This window comes from Homo sapiens, chromosome 19 (genome assembly GCF_000001405.40).
Source record: "Homo sapiens chromosome 19, GRCh38.p14 Primary Assembly".
Taxonomy (NCBI): domain Eukaryota; kingdom Metazoa; phylum Chordata; class Mammalia; order Primates; family Hominidae; genus Homo; species Homo sapiens.
In genome coordinates, this window is record NC_000019.10 from 51,571,044 (window position 1) to 51,594,858 (window position 23,815).

At 43.5% G+C, this 23,815-nt stretch overlaps 1 protein-coding gene and 1 long non-coding RNA gene across 3 annotated transcripts, besides 6 other annotated features; one reads left to right on the plus strand and one right to left on the minus strand.

Moving 5' to 3' along the window:
* On the plus strand, nt 240-21,467 carry ZNF175 (zinc finger protein 175). Of its 2 annotated transcripts, NM_007147.4 has the most exons (5): nt 240-432; nt 2,107-2,358; nt 10,348-10,474; nt 10,744-10,839; nt 15,584-21,467. In NM_007147.4, exons 2-5 carry the CDS (start codon nt 2,287-2,289, stop codon nt 17,422-17,424), a joined length of 2,136 nt encoding a protein of 711 aa, NP_009078.1. In that variant the 5' UTR covers nt 240-432; nt 2,107-2,286; the 3' UTR covers nt 17,425-21,467. The 2 variants fall into 2 exon arrangements, 1 of the variants encoding a protein (NP_009078.1); NR_136208.2 differs by lacking the exons at nt 10,348-10,474; nt 10,744-10,839; nt 15,584-21,467 and having other exon boundaries at nt 2,107-3,167.
* Nucleotides 16,649-16,849: a silencer, noted in NCBI's record as "peak3547 fragment used in MPRA reporter construct". NCBI's record gives its function as "represses an SCP1 promoter by STARR-seq MPRAs in K562 erythroleukemia cells {active_cell/tissue: K562}" and the evidence as "EXISTENCE:reporter gene assay evidence [ECO:0000049][PMID:32103011]".
* Nucleotides 20,740-23,337, minus strand: LINC01530 (long intergenic non-protein coding RNA 1530). Its single transcript, NR_034159.1, has 2 exons — nt 22,906-23,337; nt 20,740-22,008 (listed from the first exon to the last, which is right to left on the minus strand). It is a non-coding gene; the product is annotated as a long intergenic non-protein coding RNA 1530 (long non-coding RNA).
* Nucleotides 21,781-22,416: an enhancer, noted in NCBI's record as "H3K4me1 hESC enhancer chr19:52096077-52096712 (GRCh37/hg19 assembly coordinates)". NCBI's record gives its function as "activates a minimal SCP1, AML or CMV promoter by ChIP-STARR-seq in primed H9 embryonic stem cells {active_cell/tissue: H9 hESC(primed)}" and the evidence as "EXISTENCE:reporter gene assay evidence [ECO:0000049][PMID:30033119]".
* Nucleotides 22,417-23,052: an enhancer, noted in NCBI's record as "H3K4me1 hESC enhancer chr19:52096713-52097348 (GRCh37/hg19 assembly coordinates)". NCBI's record gives its function as "activates a minimal SCP1, AML or CMV promoter by ChIP-STARR-seq in primed H9 embryonic stem cells {active_cell/tissue: H9 hESC(primed)}" and the evidence as "EXISTENCE:reporter gene assay evidence [ECO:0000049][PMID:30033119]".
* Nucleotides 23,053-23,688: an enhancer, noted in NCBI's record as "H3K4me1 hESC enhancer chr19:52097349-52097984 (GRCh37/hg19 assembly coordinates)". NCBI's record gives its function as "activates a minimal SCP1, AML or CMV promoter by ChIP-STARR-seq in primed H9 embryonic stem cells {active_cell/tissue: H9 hESC(primed)}" and the evidence as "EXISTENCE:reporter gene assay evidence [ECO:0000049][PMID:30033119]".
* Nucleotides 23,053-23,744: a biological region, named in NCBI's record as "H3K4me1 hESC enhancer GRCh37_chr19:52097349-52097984".
* Nucleotides 23,435-23,744: an enhancer, noted in NCBI's record as "active region_15023". NCBI's record gives its function as "activates an Ori minimal core promoter by ATAC-STARR-seq in GM12878 lymphoblastoid cells {active_cell/tissue: GM12878}" and the evidence as "EXISTENCE:reporter gene assay evidence [ECO:0000049][PMID:35858748]".

Genomic DNA, 23,815 nt, shown 5'->3' on the forward strand with positions numbered 1-23,815 from the left:
ATAAAAGCCCTTTGACGATGGCGGCCTCCAATATCATAATCCGTATGGGTGCGGCCATGCCGTCCTCCCTACCAAGTTTCTGAAGTTGAATGAACCGCGGAATAAAGGTACGCCGTTATACGCCATGATAACTGTTGGCGGAGCGTAGCTTCAAAAGTGTTAGTGGGCATGCGCGCGGTTCAACAGCGCCTACGGAAATCCTAACGGGAATGTAACCCAAACCGGAAGTGGCCTAGAGCGACCATTTAGCTTCTGTTGTTAAGTGGATCTAAGCCTATGTCGCTTACTGGACGCTGAAGTGATTGGGAATATTAGCAGTGGGGGTTCTGTAGGGTCAGGAAGGGGCGGCTGGCTTTGGGGGAGTGATGAGGGGCTTGTTGGGGGTGGGGGTGCGTGATAAAGGGATTTCTCGGCTGAAGACGAGGCTGTGAGGTGAGTGACGGGCTTGTTTTGGCTGAGCGATGAGGGGTTTCTGGGGTGGGTGATGGGTGCTGTGGGGTAAGTGGCGTTTGCTAATTTTAGTTGGATAATTAGCCTGTTAATTTTCCCTCTTTTCTTGCTTATTTTCTGCTTGTAGTATTTTTGTGACTTAAATTCCAAGTGTACTTTAATATCGGATTTTATATTGGTCCACGAAACTTGCTAACTTGAGGACAGTGAACGTGCATCTTAAGAGCGCCTTTGCGGATGGTGCTGGAGGACGTTCAGGGAAGGGATTCACTGTCCGTGGGACTAGGGGAGTCAGTGATTGATTGGCAGCCAAGAGCTTCAGAGGTTGGAGGACTTTGAGGATCACACTGTAACACTCTCAGGGGACCAGTGATGGGCAACCTATAGGAATCAGTAGAGTGGGGTTGCCAGGGGTAGCCTATGGCAGCCAGTTGACTGGAGGCGTAGGGGGTCAATGATGGGGATTTGTGAGGGTGAATGCATTGCTTTCTAGGCAGTGAGTGTTGGGGTCCTTCAGGGATTGGTGGGTGGGTCAGTGTTGGCCTCTTCTTGGGTCCCTTGGACATGGTAAGGATCAGTAATTGACAGTTGAGCACATCGATGATGGTTTCCTATTGGGGCATTTCATTTGGACCCCTATGTTGGGGATTATTTGTCGTTTTATGGAAACCAGAAAATTGTGCTCGCTGGGAAACATTTCTTGGCTATCAGGGCAGTAAAGATTTCAGAAGCCTGTGCCATGTCAGTGACTGGGAGGCATTTTGGAACTTTCTGGCAGCCCTGTAGTACACTCATTGGGGATTTCTGAAAGTCAGTCCTGTCAGTGATTGCATTCAGGTGCGGTGGGGGCAACTTATTGTGGACAGGCAAGAAATGGTAACTGGAGGCCCTGATGCATGTCTGCAAATTTTCTGTGTCAAGATGGGGATTGGGACAGTGATTTTAAGTTTTAGCTCTAGTCAGAAGAGGCTGGTCTGTGTGTGGTGTATTATGGACGGGGACTGAAAAGTCCAGAAGCTCAGAATAGGTACACCAGACAGAGCCACCTCCCGGCCTGAGTTCTATGAAGGCAACAGAAAGAGGAAATGGTGTTTCTGGAAGCTGGCCACGTATGGGTACATGAGATAGTGGAGACAGTGTACAGTTTAGAACAAGGCAGATGTGGGGCTGATTCCCTGTTTTTCCATTTACAGACTGAGTAACCTTCAGGCAAATTATGTAACAGCACACAGCCTCATTATCCTCATCCTCAAAATGGGTATGATAATGCCCATGATATTTAGCTGACAATTAAATTGACAACTTTCTTTTTTTAATTCATATTTATCACGTGCCAGGCAGGCACTGAGGACTTGACAAGCTTCATCTTGGTTAAGTTTCCCAACATCTGTGATAAATACCTGCATTTTCATTTTGGAAACTACAACTAAAGTAATATTTTCATATTCTCACAGTGAAAATGTGGCAAAGCTGCAATGAATTCACCATTTAGTCCAGACTCAGTCTTTATTTTTAACCCTGACTAATAACTAGAGTTGGGCTTTCTGAACTTTGTCTACTCCAATGTCTGACACAGTGACTTCACCTCAGTGCCCTCAGGAAATATTTGTGGAGTGAATGTTGAATGAGTGACCATGTACTCATTGCTTTTCCAAGGCTTCTGCAGAACCCCCAGGTCAGGCCACATCATTGAGGCTGCAGGATCTCTCTTCATAGCCCAGTACGACTCTCCGCCGTGTCCCTGGTTGGAAAATCCAAACACCTATCCAGCTTCTGGCTCCTGGGAAAAGTGGAGTTGTCAGCAAGAGAGACCGAGAGTAGAAGCCCAGAGTGGAGATGCCTGCTGATGTGAATTTATCCCAGAAGCCTCAGGTCCTGGGTCCAGAGAAGCAGGATGGATCTTGCGAGGTAAACAGGGGCAGCCCTGGGGATAGTTCTCCAGAACGTGAGGGCAGACACAGGATGCAGCAGGTCTGGGCTCCCTGCTCCTGAGTCAGTCTTGAGCCTCCTGTCAAGCGAGGACCACAGAGGCTGATGTTTCCACATTCATAGGCTATCTGTGTTCTAGAGGAAACCATGAACTGGCTGATAAAAGAGGATAGTAGAGGGTTGGCCTTGGGTCAAGAAAGAAGAAACTGTAGTCCCTGGTCTGATCAGAAGCCCCAGTCATAGGATGGAAAAGCTGACTCTTTCCTGCTAAGCACTGGTTCTGCTCCTTCATCCACCACTGGGTCTTTGAAAAATTTCAAGTGGTCCCCCCCACCAAATTCCTTGCTTGGTCCATGGGGTTTGGCCCGTTTTTCCTCTGTTCTCATAAGGTGCGGCAAAATCTCCTTCCTTTGTAATTTAAATAGTCACAGGGAGGTAGAGTGAGAAGAGGCTTTTAAGGACCATGTGAAGAGGCTTTTAAACACTTTTTCCTGTTTAAAAAGGTGAACAAAAAATGCTGGAAAACAGTGTTTCCAGATTGCCCACAGATAGAAATAGTCAGGATTTGGTAACAAGAAATCAGAATTCTTGGTATAGTCAAGATTTCCTGAAATCCTAAATTATTCTGTGTATCTCTTGATGCTTTATTTACAAGTCTTTAAATAGTATGTGACTATAATAGTAAACAGTGTACCATTGTTCTGTGATGGGTTTATAACCAAATTTACAGAGATGTTCTGTTTTTTAAAAAAAGTATAATAAATATGTGTGTTATTATCCTGAACCAATATATTGTGAGATTATATATTTCAGTAACCTGTTAAAATCATCTCAACCTGCTAGAAACATTTGATAATAGAAAGTATTAAAAGAAGGGAACATTAACACAAAATAAATTGCACATATAAATCATTTTCAAAATTGTAAATACCCCAAATATTTAAAAGTCGTTCTTAAAAGAAAAATTGAAACATACAAGTTTAGGTGGGGCACAGTGGCTCATGCACTTTGGGAGGCCGAGGCGGGCGGATCACTTGAGCCCAGGAGTTGGAGACCAGCCTGGGCAACATGGCGAGACTCTACAAAAATACAAAAATTAGCCAGGTGTGGTGGCATGCACCTGTAGTCCCAGCTACTGAGTACGTTGACGTGGGAGGATCACCTGAGCTTGAGGCGGTCAAGGTTGCAGTGAGCTGCAATCATGACACTACACTCCAGCCTGGGCAATAGAGTGAGACCCTGTCTCAAAACAAAACAAGTTTAAAACATGAAATTGTCTAAGTCTTTGTGACAGCAGTGCAGATGCACAAACGTTTCTCTCATTTGCATTGATGTTGGTCAACTTGCGTGTTCAGAACATCTTCAAGTTTAGCGTTTTAGGACACATGTTCAATATAAGCTTTTTTCCTTTTTTAACAATGAAATTTTTTTTCTGCTTGACCTGATTTCCAGTTTATCATTTGAATCAATACTGCTGTCGCTAATTCAGATTTTCCATCAGTGTCTGAATTCATGTCAGAGTATATCCCAGTACCATGCACATTATCTTCTCTTTGTGGTGTGTATTTCCCTCTGCTCTGGACAGTACTATTTTTATTTTGTTATTTTTATCTTTTCTAATGTGATGGAAATAAAGATAGTATAGTGTTTTAATTTGCATTACTTTGTTTACAAACAGGCTTTTTTTTCATAATTTTATTGGTCAATTACTTGTCTTTAGTGAGTTACTTTTTCTTACCTTTTGATTTATATTTTGGTTTGGTTTAGCCTCCGGATTTTTAGAGAGGTTTTTTTTTTTTTTTTTTTTTTTTTGAGACGGAGTCTCGCTCTGAAGCGCAGGCTGGAGTGCAGTGGCGCAATCTCTGCTCACTGCAAGCTGCACCTCCCGGGTTAACGCCGTTCTCCTGCCTTAGCCTCCTGAATAGCTGGGAGTACAGGCGCCTGACAGCACTGCTGGCTAATTTTTTTGTATTTTTAGTAGAGATGAGGTTTCACCATGTTAGCCAAGATGGTCTTGATCTCCTGACCTCGTGATCCGCCTGCCTCAGTGTCCCAAGAGAGTTCTTACACAGTAATAACCTAAGGTCCTTTTTGCATATGTTTGTAAATACTTTTTGTTACTTTTTCCTTTGAAAGTAGGTTTTAGTTTTGTTTGAACATAGGAAAGAGGATCAGATGGTTTTGTGAAGCCTGTAATCTTTTAAAAGGGCTGTCACTTGCTATATTTTTACCAAAGTTCCAGCTCCTCCCAGGCAATCACATTTTACATTTTTAGCTAATTATTTTGGCATTTACCTCCTAATCTTTTAGTGACATGCTTATATTGCTGCCTCTTGGATTGTTAATTAACACGTTAATTAATTAAGAAACATGTCATTAAAAGGTTTGCTTTTACCCGCTTCCTCATACTTTCACCCCCAACACCTGCTTTCCTTGCCCATCCTTCTCTAGAACTGGTTCAGATTCTGATCAGGTCAATCTTCCTTGTTTGTGATTATGACTGTGTAAACTATATTCAGAGCTGCCTGTATAGACACCCTGATAACTCTCTGCCTGCATAACTTACGGTTTTTCCCTGGAGCACACAATTTTATGGATTATTTACTTGCCTATATACATGTTAATGTATTATACCATTTTCTCCAAGTGTGTACACACTGTCTTCATAAATTGAATTTGTTACTAGGTAATTGCAAACCCTCGCTATTTCAGGGACAGTTTTTTTTTTTGTTTTTTTTTTTTTTTGAGACAGAGTTTCGCTCTTGTCTCCCAGGCTGGAGTGCAATGGCGCGATCTTGGCTCACTGCAACCTCTCCTCCTGGGTTCAAGCCATTCTCCTGCCTCACTCTCCTGAGTAGCTGGGATTACAGGCACTTGCCACCACGCCTGGCTAATTTTTATATTTTTAGTAGAAACAGGGTTTCACCATGTTGGGCAGGCTGGTCTCAAACTCCTGACTTCAGGTGATCCGCCAGCCTCGGCCTCCCAAAGTGCTGGGATTACAGGCATGAGCCACCACACCCGGCCTTCAGGAACAGTTTTAATCCTCATAACTTTGCGAGGTACTGCTGCCATTATCCCCCCTTTACAGACAAGAAGACTGAGGCACAGAATGAAATAAGTGGCTCAAGTTTACATAGTCAGCAAGCAGCCAGCCTGGGATTGAAGGCAGGCAGTTTGCTTGAGGGTTGGGGCTGTCAATGCCATCTCCTTGAGGAAACCTTTCCTATTGCTTTTTTGTCTTGATGCGATTGGACCTGGCTGTTCTCCTGGCGCCTCACGCTGTCTTCTCATGGTGCTGTGTTCACCATCACCTGGGAATTCTTTTTTTCTCTGTCAAGTGTCCAGTTCCTTGTGTCTTGAATCCTTTCTTGAATCCTTTGGCTTTCTCTTCCACGGTTTACCGTTACTCTCATTTCGTGAAAGTGCATCCCCTAGGAGTTCTTGGGGACGGTACACGGCAGTAAATCCTGTGAGAACTTATCTGAACATGTCTGTTCAGATAACGGAGACTAAACTTAAGAATAGGAGAATCACTTGACCCAGGAGGTTGAGGCTGCAGTGAGCTGTGATGGCACCACTGCACTCCATCCTGGGTGACAGAGTGACATCCTGTCTCAAAAAACAAAAACGAAAACAAAAGACCTGAGAGGTTTACATATATGAGCATGACATGAAAGTGAAATGATATGAAAATGAATGATATGAAAATGTCACGCCAAAAAGCAAAGATCATATATTTGCATATTTAATAGAAAGATGTCACGGAAAATGACTTGATTTACCCTCACACTAAGTTGATCTTTGCCTGGGTTCATAGGTTGGAAATCATTTTTTTCTTCCTAAAACACCCCATATACTACTTCCTTACCACACACATATAGTCTCTCTGCTCTCAAATCCTGAAACTCTTTATTTTTAAGCTGTTAGTCTCCATTTAAAAGGGTTTTTATGCTCTGTCATTTTCTATTTCTTTGGTTTTGGACCCTCTTTCTGGAAGAATTTCTCAACTTTATTTTCTAGCCCTCCGATAATCATTACTGCCTTAAAAAATTTTTAAGAGCTTTTAGATATGAATACTCCTTTTAATGACATGATGTTTTTGTTTAATGATTGAACTATCTTACCTAAGGATATTTGAGATATTTTAAAATGTAATTTTATGAATAGATAATACACAGCATTCACAAATTAAAACATCATGAAAAGTAATTTTTTTACAAAATACTCCTTTCTCTCTCTTTTTTTTTTTTTTTTTTGAGATGGAGTCTCACTCTGTCGCCCAGGCTGGAGTGCAGTGGCACGATCTTGGCTCACTGCAAGCTCCGCCTCCCGGGTTCACGCCATTCTCCTGCTTCAGCCTCCCGAGTAGCTGGGACTAAAGGCGCCCGCCACCACACCAAGCTAATTTTTTGTATTTTTAGTAGAGATGGGGTTTCACCGTGTTAGCCAGGATGGTCTCAATCTCCTGACCTCGTGATCCGCCCGCCTTGGCCTCCCAAAGTGCTGGGATTACAGGCGTGAGCCACCGCACCTGGCATACCCCTCTCTCTTTTGTCCCTGATTTGTCCAGGTTTCTTCCACATAGGTAATTATAGTTAGTCATCTGCCTTTACCTCCCAAACACTACCACTTTCTTCCAAAGTTAACTACTTTCGTCACTTTTAAGTTAATTACTTCATTTTAAAAAACGAGGCCGGATGCAGTGGCTCACGCCTGTAATCCCAGCACTTTGGGAGGCCGAGGCGGGCTGATCACGAGGTCAGGAGTTTGAGACCAGCCTGGCCAACATGGTGAAACCCCATCTCTACTAAAAAAATACAAAAAATTAGCCAGGCATGGTGGCGGGTGCCTGTAATTCCAGCTACTTGGGAGGCTGAGGCAGGAGAATCGCCTGAACCCGGGAGGTGGAGGTTGCAGTGATCCAAGATCATGCCATTGCATTCCAGCCTGGGCAACAAGAGTGAAACTCCATCTCAAAAAAAAAGAAGCAAGCCCCAGAATGGGAAAAGATTCTTGTTACACATACAGCTGACAAAAGGTTCCTATAAAACGTTGAGGACGGCTGGGCGTGGTGGCTTATGCCTATAACCCCAGCACATTGGGAGGCCAAGATGGGAGGATTGCTTGAGCCCAGGAGTTTGAGACGATCCTGAGCGTCATAGGGAGACCCCATCTTTACAAAAAATAGAAAAATTAGCTAGGTGTGGTGGTGTGTGCCTGTGATCCCAGCTACTCAGGAGGCTGACACGGGAGAATCACTTGAGCCCGGAGGTCGAGGCTGCAGTGAGCTGTGATTGCACCACTGCATTCCATCCTGGGTGACAGAGTGACATCCTGTCTCAAAAAACAAAAACAAAAGACCTGAGAGGTTTACAGGACAATGAGATACTCCTTCAGAAACACAGAAATGGCCACGTGCAGTGGCTCACACCTGTAATCCCAAAACTTTGGGAGGCCAAGGTGGGTGGATCGTGTGAGCTCATGAGTTTGAGACCAGCATGGGCAACATGCTGAAACCCCATCTCTACAAAAAATACAAAAATTAAGGCTGAGTGTGGTGACTCACACCTGTAATCTCAGAACTTTGGGAGGCAGAGATGGGCCGATCACTTGAGGCCAGAGTTTAAGACCAGCCTGGCCAACATAATGAAACCCCGTGTCTACTAAAAATACAAAAATTAGCCAGGCATGTTGGCAGGCACCTGTAATCCCAGCTACTTGGGAGGCTGAGGCAGGAGAATCGCTTGAACCCAGGAGTCAGAGGCTGCAGTGAGCCAAGAGCATGCCAGTGCACTCCAGCCTTAGTGACAGAGTAGACTCCATCTCAAAAAAAAAAAAAAAAAAAAAAAGCTGGACATGGTAGTGCACGCCTGTGGTCCCAGCTACTTGGGAAGCTGAGGCAGGAGGATCGCTTGAGTCTGAGAGGCAGAGGCTGCAGTGAGCCATGCTCGTGCCACTGCAATCCAGCTTGGGCAACAGAGTGAGATTCTATCTCCCAAAAAAAATTTTTTTTTTTTGAGGAAAAGTGTTTTTTAACCCAGTAGAAAACTGAAGAAGAGACTTGCTTGAATAGGCTGGTAAACATGGGAAGATGCTCAGCTTCATTAGTCATCTGGGAATTGCCAGTGTAACTCCCATGCCTGTACCAAAATGCATACAGTTACCAACACTGATAATACCAAATGTAGGTGAGGATACAGAGCAACCAGAAGGATTTTGTGTGCTGCTGGTAAGCATATAAATTGGTACAACCAATTTGGAAAATGATTTCTAATTTTCTACTAAAGGCGAGCATGTTTTTCCCATGACCCAGAATTCCACCCCTGGGTATATGCCCAACATCTGTTCTGAACTGGTATTTAAATGTAGACCTGTGCTGTCCAGTATGGTAGCCACTCACCACATGTAGCTATTGAGCACTTGAATGCGGCTGGTTCACCCTGAGATGTGCTTGAAGTATAAAATATATGCTGACTTCTGAAAACTTAGTATGAAAACAGAATGTAAAGCATCTCATCTCGATGATTTTTAAAATATTGAATATAGAATATTCAATATATAGAATATAGAATGTTTTAATATATGTAATATTAAAATATTACATATAGAAATGATAATGTTTTGAATATAATGGATTAAGTAAAAATATCATTAAATTGATTTTATCTGTCTTTTAAACATGGCTACTAGACAATTTTAAGTTATATGTGTGGCTCACATTCACGGTTCATGTTTTATTTCCATTGGATGGCTCTCCTCTAGAGGCTTGATCAGAGTCCACTTGGATTTCTTTGTTTTTGGAAATGATACTTAATAGTTTGCACACCACGTATTTTCCTACCTCTCTACTTTTATTTTTTTATTTTGCATCATATTAGGTGCACTTTAATATCTGGTTATCTCTCTCCTTGTGATAAAATTGATGATTGGGTTCAGATATTGTCAGCCTACTCCTCCATTATAAAGACCCATCAGTCTTTCATATGGTTTTAGCAGTCATTGGTGATCAGTAACAGTGACATTTTTGTTTTGTCCTTCAGGCTGCATTTATCATCTGCAGTACTTCTGTAATGAAGATCTTTCCATCATCAGTCCTTTCATTAACCTAATATTAGTTATTACAGGAGAGATCATCTTGTTGAAATATTATATGATCATATCTCTTCCCTGCACTTAAAATCCTGAAATGGCAGTCCGTTCATTAAAATAAATAATCCATACCCATTATATATTGAGGCACCAGCCCACTTCTTTGGAGCTTGGATGGTAACCACCTTCCAAACATGACATAGTCGCCTCTTATCTTACACAGAGCTGTCTGCTTCTCCCTGAATTCACAGTGTTTTCCTACCTCTCTAGTTTTATTCATGCTCTTTTCTGGAAAATGATTTCCTTCACACATCCTGCATCACAGTTCTTACTTCCAGCGTAAGCTTCACCAACTCTAAGTAGCATTACCTTCTACTCCTAGGTAGAATTTGCCTTTCCCTAATTTGCCCTTCCCCAACAGTGTCCTCTGCATATATTTCTACCATGTTCCCTTTTTAACCCTGTAGTTGAGCTTTTGTATTTACATGTCTTCCAAGTCTCTGAGTTGCTGCAAGAGTAGAAGCTTATGTAATTCTGTGTTGAGCACCAGAACCCAGCTCAACTACAGCCTCACATGTAGTTGCTTCGTCAACATCATGCTGGTTATTCCTAAATTAGCTAAAGGACTTAGAGGGAACCCATTTCTGGCCTCATTTTTGAAAAAAAAAAATGAATGAATGAATGTAGGTGTACAGTGGATGGAGGATATTTCTCTTATTTTTTTTTAAATCCCTAAAAATGTGAAATAGGTGTTTGGTGGGAAGCCTCTGTGATGGATCGTGGTGAAAATCATTAAAAGCATGTTCCTCCTATATGTGCCATCCCCACTCGCCAATGATGACCTAATTCACAGTGAGCTGGGGTACACTGTTACAGGCATCAGTGTCATTTGAGGACGTGACCGTGGACTTCAGCAGGGAGGAGTGGCAGCAACTGGACCCTGCCCAGAGATGCCTGTACCGGGATGTGATGCTGGAGCTCTATAGCCATCTCTTCGCAGTGGGTGAGCACAACTGACCTGGGAATCTTGGCTGGATCCTGTTGAGGAGATTTCCTTCCTCCTCATTGCAGAACGCAGTGGGATATCAAAGTATGTCATGACTCTTTTATCGGTTTGTCCTGGATTGTTTGTTTCTTTTGGGCACCTTCTAGTATTATTTTGTGCCCAGTGGAAAATGTTGACTTTTCTAATGAGCCAGTGTAAAGCTTCATTGAATGGCCTCTAAAACTGAAGAAGCTACACCCAAATCCAGTATCCTTTCTAATTAACAGGGTATCACATTCCCAACCCAGAGGTCATCTTCAGAATGCTAAAAGAAAAGGAGCCGCGTGTGGAGGAGGCTGAAGTCTCACATCAGAGGTGTCAAGGTGAGTAAGTTGTACCCGGGCAAATGTAGATATCTTTGCAGGGAACCATTACCAGTCTACCATACTTTTCTATTCCCTCCATTCCCCCAGTGATGGCCCGTAGATTGCCTCCTACTCCCAGTTTCCCATCAAACACTGTAAATGTGCTATAAATGTTAAATGTCCTATAGGGGCTGCCTTAAGAATTTTCCATTGGTGAATACTCAGGAATGGGATTGCCTGGTCCTGGAGATAAGTATACTTGACTAAATCAACCATATTGCTCTTCTGATGGGCTGCACCAGTTCACACTCCCCATGTGCAGTGCACAAGGATTTGCATTTGCACATCTTGCTTGCTAACACTTGGCATTAACAAAATTGGTGAATTTATAGCCCTACTGATAGGTGAAAGGGCTGTTTCATTTTTTTTTGTTTTTGGTTTTGGTTTTTTTGAGACAGAGTCTCACTCTGTCACCTAGGCTAGGGTGCAGTGGCACGATCTTGGCTTACTGCAACCTCTGCCTCCTGGGTTCAAGTGATTCTCCTGCCTCAGCCTCCCGAGTAGCTGGGACTACAGGCACCCGCCACCACACTCGGCTAATTTTTTGTATTTTTAGTAGAGACAGGGTTTCACCCTGTTAGCCAGGATGGTCTCGATCTCCTGACCTTGTGATCTGCCCACCTCGGCCTCCCAAAGTGCTGGAATTATAGGCGTGAGCCACCGCACCCAGCCTGTTTCATTGCTTAAGTGTTATTTTTCTAATAACTGAATGGTGAGAGCCTCTCATCTTATCTGTTATCTGATTGGCTTTTTCATTTGTTTGTTGCATTTTCTTACCGCTTATCTCTTTACGTCCATGGAGTTTTCTGCCTTTTTTTTCCAGTTTTTTTGCCCCTAATTTTATTTATTTTCTTTTCTTTGCTGGATCTGCTGTCTTCTTTTCCTCCCAGTTGTGGCACCTCTAGCTTGGGGCCCTGTTCTTCCATATGGGCATCTTTTCTTTTTTTTGAGGCAGAGTTTCACTCTTGTTGCCCAGGCTGGAGTGCAATGGCACGATCTTGGCTCACCGCAACCTCCGCCTCCCAGGTTTGAGTGATTCTCCTGCCTCAGCCTCCCAAGTAGCTGTGATTACAGGCATGCACCACCATGCCCGGCTAATTTTGTATTTCTAGTAGAGACGGGGTTTCTCCTTGTTGGTCAGGCTGGTCTCGAACTCCCGACCTCAGGTGTTCCGCCTGGCTTGGCCTCCCAAAGTGCTGAGATTACAGGCGTGAGCCACCGTGCCCGGCTATGGGCATCTTTTCCCACAGGAATTGACTTAAAGGACCCATCCATTCTGAACTCTTAGTCCTCATATTTTTATTCTAATGATTTATATATCAGTACCTCTAGTCCCTGTGCTTAAACTGTGTTCTGCTACCTTACTTAGCTCCACGGAGGACAGTTCCCATGAGATGACTCACTTCCTTAATTTTGGGAGATCAGAAATTGGAATCATCATCATCCAAATAAGGAATTCTCACCTGATAAATTTTGTGAGATTTTTCTGTTTCTGGGCTCAGAAACACAGTCCTCTAATTTAATTTATTACTTTGGAATTCTTACCAGTTTTTCTTGTTTTAATTAAGAAAAAAGTGACCCTTTTTCTTAATCCCAGTGGTATTACAACAAACTAGATCCCCATTTTCTCATATTTAGACAATTTTGTTCCCAGTGAGATATGTTGATTTCAGGTTTTTGAGTTTAGTCAAGATACTGACAGATTTTATGACCCCAAACATGGCTATTTTGTTTCTTTTTTCCTCAGTAGATATGATAAAAACAGGCAGTTCTATTTCCTACTGTGTAGGATTAACAAATTCTTTTCAGTGATATTGTCCTCATGGCCACATATTTCCAATTTAAAAATATACCTGAATAGTTTTCATCACTCATGCTCTGCTCCATTGTTTTTGTATGTTGTTTAATGTCTACTCCATAGAATGATTCACTTTGCATACACTCTGCTGATTACTTTGTACTTTCTTAATCTTCATTATATCAATGTTTAGCATGAGGAAACCATTGTATTTAAGATATAGGATTAGGATTTTTGTATTTAGGATACAGAAATTACTGATTTTCTGAAAATGGGCAGAAAAGAATATTTCACAGTATTTTAAAAGGATGCTTTAAATATTTGCTGAGATAAATTCAAAAGAACGGAGATTGTATTTGGATGGAGAGGACAATGGCATTAAATGTTAAAAGTATTAGCCTTTGTGCATCAATCATGTCTATTTCATGGAAGGCTACTCAAAAAGTAAGTGTATCAACATGGGAAGCATGGATAGCAAATGCTGGTGAAGTTCAGAAAAATGATGTCAGCCTAGAGGTGGAGTGACATTGGGAATTAATTTTAAGGGCATAGTACCTATAACTGGTTCAAGAAGCCATTTTGAATTGAAACAAAGAAGCAGATGAAGCAAGCTTAATGGGAATAGAGGACATGAGAGTGTGCTTGGATTTGAGAATAAATTGGACTTCTTTTTTGCAATCGACATTGTTAGGCTGTGTTGGAGAGTTGTGGAAAAGCTTTTCAGTACAGTTCTGATAGTTTACATTGAACATTTTGGGCAGTAATTTAAGTGTTACCAGGTTCAGCAAGATTTTTATGACCTGAATAAAGTGAGAAGTTAAAAATGTTTCAGATCGCTGCCTGGGGACACAGTGGAAGATTGCCAGAATAAATGACCACCTGTATATGGGTAAAATTGCTATTTAAGAGTGAAAAATGAAATAGAAAACAACCTATTTTAATAAGTGGGAAAAGGATGTGAATAGACATGTCTTCAAAGATGATATACAAGTGGCCAATAATAGGAAAAAATGCTCAACTTCACTAATTATGTGGGAAATGCAAATCAAAACCACTGGGTGATATCCCTTTACATCCATTAGAATGGCTACAATTAAAAAAACAGAATAACAAGTGTTGGCAAGGATATAGAGAAACTGGAATCCTTGTGTATTACTAGTGGGAATGTAAAATGGTGTAGTCCTATGGAAAACAGGATGATGATTTCTCAAAAATTAAACATAAAATTACCATATGATCCAGCAACTCCACTTCTGGGTAGATACCCACAAGAATTGAAAGCAAGGACCCAAACAGCTGTTTGTACACTCTTGTTCATAGCAGCACTATTCACAATATCCAAAAAGTGGAATTGTCCATTGACCAATGAATTGGTAAACAAAATGTGGTCTATACATACAATGAAATATTATTCAGCCTTAAAAAGGAAGAGGAATTATGAAACATGTTGCAGTGCGGATGAATCTTATCATGATGCTAAGTGAATAAGCCAGACACAAAAAATCCAAATGTATCATTCTACCTGTATGAGGTACTTTAAGTAGTCAATTCATAGAGACAGAATAAGATTGTGGCTGCCAGAGAATGAGGGATGGGGGAAAAGGGAAATTGTTTAATGGATACAGCATTTCAGTTTTGCAAGATGTAAAAGTTTTGGAGATCCATTGCACAACAGGGTGAATACAGGTAGCACTACTGAACTGTACAATACAAAATGGGCAAGATGGTAAATGTAATATTATGCACTTTTGCTACAATAAGAAAAAGTTAACAATAAAGATTAAAAGTGTCCTTTTTTTAAAAAAAGAATGAAAGATGATTGAGTTTTTTTGATAGGACAAGAGTCTGGGATACAGTTTAAGTGACTGAAAGCGAAAAGAAACTACATGTGATGTTCATACTCAGTATTAAAATCTGGTAGAAAAAGTAATAGTAAAATTTAGTAACTATTATTTTTATTGAGAACCTGCTGTGTTTTGTGCAGTATACTAGTAAAGTGCACAGGATGATCAGGGACTCTTATTCTTGGCAAAAAAACAAAACAAAACAAAAAACTAAACTAAAAAAGGCATATTTGATAGCATAAAGCCAAAAGTTCTAACAAAGAACAATTAATTTCAATGGAACAAGGGTGAAACAAATTCTGGGGAACAGCTTGCTTGTCCAGTCTTTTAGAATATATTTCTGGGGATATGGGTATATTCCTAAGTTCAAGAAAAAAAAATTGTAGCTTCATGGAGAGTTGAGGCATAGGAGAGTTGAGGCATAGTCATTCTTTCACTGGTTGGCCATGTCAAGATAGGTGAAGCTTTAATAGTTTTCAGAAGGATATACAGGGCTGATGGACTTGGCATTGTTTCTAACAAGTAAGATAAAGCAGGCAGATTGGTGAGGATTCATCTCTGAAAGTTAATGAAGACCTACACACTGAGCCCCCTCCTTCAAGCCTTGGCTGCCCACACATGTTGCCCTGCAACACTTGTCTGTTTTATCCTACTCATCCTACTAGATCTGGGTGTCTAGACCACTTGCATAAGTGTCCTCAGGTTGTTGAAATCTAATCCCCACAGATTAGCAAAGTGATCTTGGCCAATTACATAACCATTATGTGCTTCCTTTTCTTTGTAAAACAGGAACACCCATCATCGCTACCTCCTGAGGTTATTATGCAGATTAAATGAGTATGTGTGCACCATGTAGGCCACTGCCTGGCACATGCTAAGTGCTATGTAGATAAATGCTCATCATGTAATAAGGGCTCTGTGTTTCTGCTCATTGTCAGCATCATTAGCAGCATTATTACATGACTCAGCAATTTCCTTGTGTTCTGTGTCAATCAGCTTCATGCAGTTTCTCCTCTTTCTTGTTCATTGTGTCTATTTCATCTTCTCTTTCTCCTTTTAGAAAGGGAGTTTGGGCTTGAAATCCCACAAAAGGAGATTTCTAAGAAAGCTTCATTTCAAAAGGATATGGTAGGTGAGTTCACAAGAGATGGTTCATGGTGTTCCATTTTAGAAGAACTGAGGCTGGATGCTGACCGCACAAAGAAAGATGAGCAAAATCAAATTCAACCCATGAGTCACAGTGCTTTCTTCAACAAGAAAACATTGAACACAGAAAGCAATTGTGAATATAAGGACCCTGGGAAAATGATTCGCACGAGGCCCCACCTTGCTTCTTCACAGAAACAACCTCAGAAATGTTGCTTATTTACAGAAAGTTTGAAGCTGAACCTAGAAGTGAACGGTCAGAATGAAAGCAATGACACAGAACAGCTTGATGACGTTGTTGGGTCTGGTCAGCTATTCAGCCATAGCTCTTCTGATGCCTGCAGCAAGAATATTCATACAGGAGAGACATTTTGCAAAGGTAACCAGTGTAGAAAAGTCTGTGGCCATAAACAGTCACTCAAGCAACATCAAATTCATACTCAGAAGAAACCAGATGGATGTTCTGAATGTGGGGGGAGCTTCACCCAGAAGTCACACCTCTTTGCCCAACAGAGAATTCATAGTGTAGGAAACCTCCATGAATGTGGCAAATGTGGAAAAGCCTTCATGCCACAACTAAAACTCAGTGTATATCTGACAGATCATACAGGTGATATACCCTGTATATGCAAGGAATGTGGGAAGGTCTTTATTCAGAGATCAGAATTGCTTACGCACCAGAAAACACACACTAGAAAGAAGCCCTATAAATGCCATGACTGTGGAAAAGCCTTTTTCCAGATGTTATCTCTCTTCAGACATCAGAGAACTCACAGTAGAGAAAAACTCTATGAATGCAGTGAATGTGGCAAAGGCTTCTCCCAAAACTCAACCCTCATTATACATCAGAAAATTCATACTGGTGAGAGACAGTATGCATGCAGTGAATGTGGGAAAGCCTTTACCCAGAAGTCAACACTCAGCTTGCACCAGAGAATCCACTCAGGGCAGAAGTCCTATGTGTGTATCGAATGCGGGCAGGCCTTCATCCAGAAGGCACACCTGATTGTCCATCAAAGAAGCCACACAGGAGAAAAACCTTATCAGTGCCACAACTGTGGGAAATCCTTCATTTCCAAGTCACAGCTTGATATACATCATCGAATTCATACAGGGGAGAAACCTTATGAATGCAGTGACTGTGGAAAAACCTTCACCCAAAAGTCACACCTGAATATACACCAGAAAATTCATACTGGAGAAAGACACCATGTATGCAGTGAATGCGGGAAAGCCTTCAACCAGAAGTCAATACTCAGCATGCATCAGAGAATTCACACCGGAGAGAAGCCTTACAAATGCAGTGAATGTGGGAAAGCCTTCACTTCTAAGTCTCAATTCAAAGAGCATCAGCGAATTCACACGGGTGAGAAACCCTATGTGTGCACTGAATGTGGGAAGGCCTTCAACGGCAGGTCAAATTTCCATAAACATCAAATAACTCACACTAGAGAGAGGCCTTTTGTCTGTTACAAATGTGGGAAGGCTTTTGTCCAGAAATCAGAGTTGATTACCCATCAAAGAACTCACATGGGAGAGAAACCCTATGAATGCCTTGACTGTGGGAAATCGTTCAGTAAGAAACCACAACTCAAGGTGCATCAGCGAATTCACACGGGAGAAAGACCTTATGTGTGTTCTGAATGTGGAAAGGCCTTCAACAACAGGTCAAACTTCAATAAACACCAAACAACTCATACCAGAGACAAATCTTACAAATGCAGTTATTCTGTGAAAGGCTTTACCAAGCAATGAATTCCTAGTGCATCAGCATATTCATAAATGAAATATACTCCGAGTTTCTTGAAGAAGAGAAAATCTTCTCAGAATCAGGTCTAATTATATGTTATTGAATTCATGCTTCAGAAAAACTCTAGGGATGCACTGCATGTGTGAACACATGATAAAAAAGTCATGCTTTATTTTAGTGAGGGCAATTACAGAGAAAAGAGTAAGCAGAAATGTCCTTCTGAGTACTGGCCTCATTAAGGATTATAAATTTTCTCCCCGGGAAGAAACCCTGACTAACGCATTGAGAAAAGCCTTTCTGTAAAGAATGGTACAAGACAGGTTGTTACTCGATTATTTATAGTAAAATATGTGGGAAATTATATCAATGATAACCCTGTTTATTGTGGGATATCAATATTTTTAAAGTGCCAACACAGTCATGATAGGACAATATTTTATGTGTGTGTGTGCGCCTTATGTATATAAGCATATATATAATATATAAGCATATTATTATATACAGGTTGAGTATCCCTTCTCCAAAATGCCTGGGATCAGAAGCATTTTGGATTTCAGATACTTACAGATTTTGGAATATTTGCATTATATTTATTGGTTGAGCATCCCTAATCTGAAAATCCAAGATTAAATGCTCCAATTAGCATTTCCTTTGAGCGTCATGTTAGAGTTCAAAAAGTTTCAGATTTTGGGTTTTCAGATTAGGAATACCCAACCTGTATGTACGTATATTTCTGTATCTATGTATGTATATATATGCATATGCAGACATATGTATATGGTCTGGTCAGCATATGTGTATGTATGCGTATGTATGTATGTATGTATGCCCTCAGTGCAGTGGGGTTTGCTGCAGAATTCACTGCATAGCAGGAGATGTAAGCAGATGAGTTATTTTTTAAGAGAATCTAATCTAATTGTTTTTATAAAAATTATTCCCTATTGAATATTTATATAATGAGGTTGTATCAACAATGATTAACTCCTTTATTATACATACACATGAATGTGCATTTTTGGTAAATGCATAAATGAGATTCTATAATGTTTACTGATCTTTATATTACAGATTTTCTCTTCTTTTAGGATTAGCTCAGCTTGCCCCCCCTTTCCATCTCCACCATCTATAGTGAGCCTCTCCATAATTAGTGCCAACCATTAGTCTCGTTCATATTTTTACACCAGGAGTCAACAAACTGTGGCCATTGGCCAAATATGGCCTCCCAACTGTTTTTTTAAAATAAAGTTTTATTGGAACACAGCCATGTTCATTTGGACATGTATTGTCTGGGCTTCTTTTGTGCTGCACTGGCAGAATTGAGTAGTTTTGGCGGAGATCAAATAGCCCCCAAGCTGGAAACTGAAAATATCTACTCTCTGGCTCTTTACAGAAAATGTTTGCCAGCACATGATACACACACAAACACACACACATACACACATATTACTATGTTCATCATCATATACCTGTGTAAGTACTCTTTCATTGATTTATAAAACTCAGATCTCTTACGTGTGTGGATGGTATTTTTTTCATTCTACAATCCATGATGGATTGTACACACGTGTATTCTATGAGGTTGACCTGCCATAATTTATTTAGCCATTCCCACAGTTTTGATTACTTATTTCCTCCCCACACACATTTTTTGCTAAAAAACGGAGAGGGAACTGTTATCAATACTTCCGAGAAGCAGACCAGCATAATCTTTTAAGTGCACAGGCCCAGGAGCCAGGTTCCTGCATTTGATTCCTGGCTCCACTCTCTACCCTCTGCATCTGCTGAGCAAGTTATTTGGTCTCATCTATTCTGGTTTTCTCATCTACAAAAGGGAGATGATGATAGTACCCTACCCCCATGCATTTGGTGTGAGAAGTGTGTGTGTGTTAAACCCTTGGAACTGCATGGACAGACCAAGTGCTGATGAATTTTAGCGGGCCTCGTATCCCTGAGCCTGCCTGGTTCCCTTGTGCTGGGTGTGGGACTGTGGTGGGAGATTTCTGTCAGCTGGAAGTCTTTTCCAGAAGGGTGTTAGAGATGGGCACCCATGGCTTTAGTCTCCATACCCCTTCAAGGTTGATAGGGGCCCACACAGCTGGTCAGGAACCAGCACAGACCTCAGGCTGTGTCTAAAACAAGGTGACTGCACATGCAGGAGCCTGTGCTGGGCCCTGGAGAGCAAATCTGTTCTGTGTCTCACTGGCCTCTCCCTGTCCAGGGGCGTAGTATCAGTGACCATGTCCCACCTCCTGAGAAAGGTGGAAGAGTCTCACCTGGGGAGTCCAGGTACAAGGGCTGGCCGGCCGTAGATGACTGGTGTGGGGTGGAAAGGCTGCAGAGGCCTCTCCATGGTGGTGAGGGGTGGAAATAGTGTGCACCTGGGTCCTGGGAGTGGCACCCTGACCAGTTTCAGGGAGGAAGGTGGCAGGGCCCTAGGACAAGTGTGTTAAAAACTTGAGCCCACAGTGTAGACACACTGGTTCCAAAGACCCCTCAGGATGTGCCTCCCTTCTCAGATCTGGGCTTTCCCTGTTCCTAAGCATCACCTGGGGGGATCACTCTGGGTCCTCATCTCCAGCCACATGTTCACTCCTCACGTGGGCCTCCCTAACTGTCCCCCTCAGGGCAAGCCCTTCCTCCCCACTTCCAGAAAGCTGCTCGTTCCCTGGCCATCCCACACCTCTGACCTCGTGCCACTTCCGGGGCCTGTTGGCTTTAACAACTTAGTTTCCTCCCTACCTCGCAACCCCCTCTGTCTAGAGTGCTCACCTCCCTCCCAGCCTCTGTCTCATACTATTTTTTCTTTCCTCTCAGTACCAAGCGCTGGGACAAGCCAGTCTGTACTCAATGCCTGTGGGATAATAGACGGAGGAATCTGGAGTTTGGTTGGGTGATTAGCTTTGGAATTGATGGGTCCCAGGGAGCTATCTAAAGTTTTCAGTCACATGAGGGCATGCTCACAGATCTGTGAAAAGATCTGTTGGCTCAGAGAACTAAGAGATGAATAAATGTTAGTCCAATGGCCTCATCATGAGATGAGAGGTCAAGAGTTTTGAGTTTCCAGAGGGAGAAGCTACTATTCTAGGCAGCTTGTATGAACTAACTCGTTTATTCCTCACAGCCATTGTAGGAAATAATCTAACCTCATAAACCCCATTTTAGAGATGAGGAAACAGGCTTAGAGAATTTGACGTAAACTCAAGACCGAAAATCTAGGAACAAGAAAAGCCTGGATTTGAACCAAGCTATCTGATGCCAGTGTTTTAACTCTCAACCATTGTACTACTTTACCTCCTCATGACCTTTTTTTTTTTTTTCTTGTGAGATGGAGTCTCGCTCTGTCGCCCAGGCTCTGGAGTGCAGTGGCACGATCTCAGCTCACTGCAAGCTCCGCCTCCCGGGTTCACGCCATTCTCCTGCCTCAGCCTCCCGAGTAGCTGGGACTACAGGCGCCCACCACCATGCCTGGCTAATTTTTTGTATTTTTAGTAGAGACGGGGTTTCACCGTGTTGGCCAGGATGGTCTCGATCTCCTGACCTCGTGATCCCCCCCCCTCGGCCTCCCAAAGTGCCCATGACCTTTTTATTGTTGGGCAGTGAAAGCCATGGTGAAATGAAGAATGTCCTACTGTCATGTGATGTGATCAGAAAACATACTGCCCAGAGTCCCCTGCCCCCACCCCCAAAACCAGTACTTGATCCATCCTTTGACTGTTGTGGCGATTGGCACAAAGGTTGGGCACAGTAGTAGTTAGGCTCATGGGCTCTGGAGCCAACCTACCTGGATGCTACACATCCCAGCTCTGCCCCTCGCTAGTTTGGTGGCAAGCAACTTAACCTCTCTGCCTTAATTTCTCCAGCAGCACAATGGGAATAATAATAGATCTCGCCTTGTGGCTCCTTTGCAGATTACATGCGTTAATTATGTAAAGTCAAGCATTAGAATGGTGGCTGTCCACCATGAGTACAACACAAATGCTCGTTCTTAATGATTCAACAAACATGGAATTTCATTAAATCTGAAATAAAGGTATTTTGAGAAATTGAATTCCGTTATCAAGTGTGAAGTCCTGATCCAGACTCACCTCGTGCACACTATTTACCACAAAGGTGGACTCCCTATTTTAAATGCATTCACTTAAAGAGACCTTTCCCTGTACTAATTAGTGTTTGTTAAGAAGGACCTTCTGGACATAGTTGAAAGAAAGAGAAAAGAAGCAGGTGTGGGGAGGAGGAGAAGGAGAAGGGAGGAAGGGAGGGAGGGGAAAGAAGATGGATGGACAGATGGAAGGAAGGAATTAGGGATGGCAGAAAGGAGATAAAATAAACTCTACTTTTAAAAGAAACCAGGTGGGGTGAGTGGGAGGGCTTCCCTGTGACCTTGGCCTCAGGGGCTCTTTCTGGCTTCCAGATAAGATACCCCTCAGCTTTGCACTGGGTCTCCTGAGGCTTGGAAGTTATGTCCACAGTGAGGTTGGTGTAGAGGGGCAGCCACTCTTTGGAGAGCAACCTGTAGCCCAGACAGTTGATGCCATCATCAGAGGATCCAGGGATCGGAGGATTGGCGGATCCGGGACAGAAGGCGAGGCCTGGAGGATGGGGAGGGGCAGCCATGTGAGCCTCAGGGAGGACCCAGAACCAACCACCCCACTTCCAACACTGATTCACCTCCAGGGCCTCTGCTTGTGGCCAGGATCTTCCCCCTCCAGCATATGGTAGCCTCTGAAAAGCAGGTGGGGCTGGGAGAGGAGCATCCCGCTTAGTTTCACCCTTCCAGAGACACAGGAAGGCATGGAGGCCAAACACCTGTCTCTGACAGGGTCCCCATGCCACAGCCCAGCCCTCCAGTCCAGGGTAGCCCATGTCCCCCTCAGCCCAGGGCGGCCCATACCTGCCTCATCATGTCAGGACCTGCAGCTCCTGCCTCCCACCTGGCAGTGATGTCATCCTCATCATCCCAACCCCACTACACGTTGGAGAAGCCATTTATCTTCAGGTAGTGAGTGGGGTGCAGGGCAAACACCCCTCCAAGGCACAAGCTAACGGCTTAATTGCTGTTGTTTCCCCATGTTCTGGCTTGCAGCACTTGTAACCTCTGGGCTCCTGCAGCCCTTAACATCTGATACCTTTACATTAAGATTTATCATCCTTATCTCTGGACCAGGCTGAATACACCTGTGTCCCGGTGCATCTGGCCAGCGGGTCAAAGGGCCTAGCACACAGATTAACAAATGAATGAGTTCCAGTTACCAAAGTTCAATCCTTGAGGTGGACAGAAGACGCCCAAGGCGTGTCTCCCATCACCCTTCACTCTCAATCCTCCTTATCAAGGGCCTCACGGGAATAGTGATAAGATCTCAGAATATACAGGAGGGAGCAGTTTCGGGAAGGGGGGCATTGGAAGGAAGTGGAGGGCTTGGATCTGGGGAGCAAGCGGGGAGAGTGCTCCGTTCCTTGGTTTTGGGATCTTGCCTTACGGGTCTCACCTGCCCTCCATCCTGGCTTCCACCTGGCAGGGTGTGTTTGTGTCAGAAAGACGATTGTGCGTAACTGTTCACCGCGTCCACGTCCCGAGAGTTGCGCACGCGTGGAGATCTGCAAAACGCTCCCTTTCAGCTCCGCGCATGCACAGAGACCCCACCCCGCAAGTCCTTGCCCTTCGGCCTGGGCAGGCGTCCACTCCCATGGCTGCAGGGCGCGCCGAAGAGCCCACTCTGCATCCCCGAGACGCGGCCCAATCCTAGGAATGTGCTTAGCGCAGGTGCTATCTTCCCTTTTCACATTCCCAATCTCTTTCTCCGCCCCCTCAAACTCTTGCCATACTCCCACAACAGCAGAAAATCTGAAAAAAAAGTCCATCCCATCTTTGCACTGACAGCAGTGCACAGCAGCTGGCAGAGAATTCTGGCACGGCTATTGTGCTTGCGCAGGCGCAGACGGGAAGCGGGCCGGACCGGCCTAGTACACTCTGGGAGGCGTGCGCAGAATGCGCAGCGCTGCCGCGAGGATCTCTGGGAACTGTAGGCCCAGTTTGTCCGAGAGCCGCAAGTGTTTCGGGACGACGCAACGCAGGGGCACCTGGGAGTCGTAGGCGGATGGGCCCAAAGCCTTCCGGGAGTCGTAGTCCTTCCGCCCGCTCCTCGTTTCTTTGGAGGTTGGCCCTTCCAGCTCCAGTTCTGCCCAGGTGAGCGCCCATCCCGCGGCCGGCCGGTCCTGGCCCTTTGTCGCGATGACGTGGCGGAGTTGAGGGTCTCTGTATTTCTCTCCCCCGCGTTCTGGTAGGCGTCCCTGGAAAGATGGCACCCTTTTCCGTGATCTCTCAATCCCTCTCTCCGGGTGGGAGTGCTCTAAGCAGCTGTTGTACCTGCTGACCCGCTTTGGATTCTGCGGCCCAGC

Excerpts from the sequence above, each read along its gene's own strand:
- ZNF175 (NM_007147.4), top strand. The coding sequence starts at position 2,287 with ATGCCTGCTGATGTGAATTTATCCCAGAAGCCTCAGGTCCTGGGTCCA. Across the intron at positions 2,359-10,347 it reads AGCAGGATGGATCTTGCGAG|GCATCAGTGTCATTTGAGGA; the intron begins GTAAACAGGGGC and ends ACACTGTTACAG. Across the intron at positions 10,840-15,583 it reads CTCACATCAGAGGTGTCAAG|AAAGGGAGTTTGGGCTTGAA; the intron begins GTGAGTAAGTTG and ends TTCTCCTTTTAG.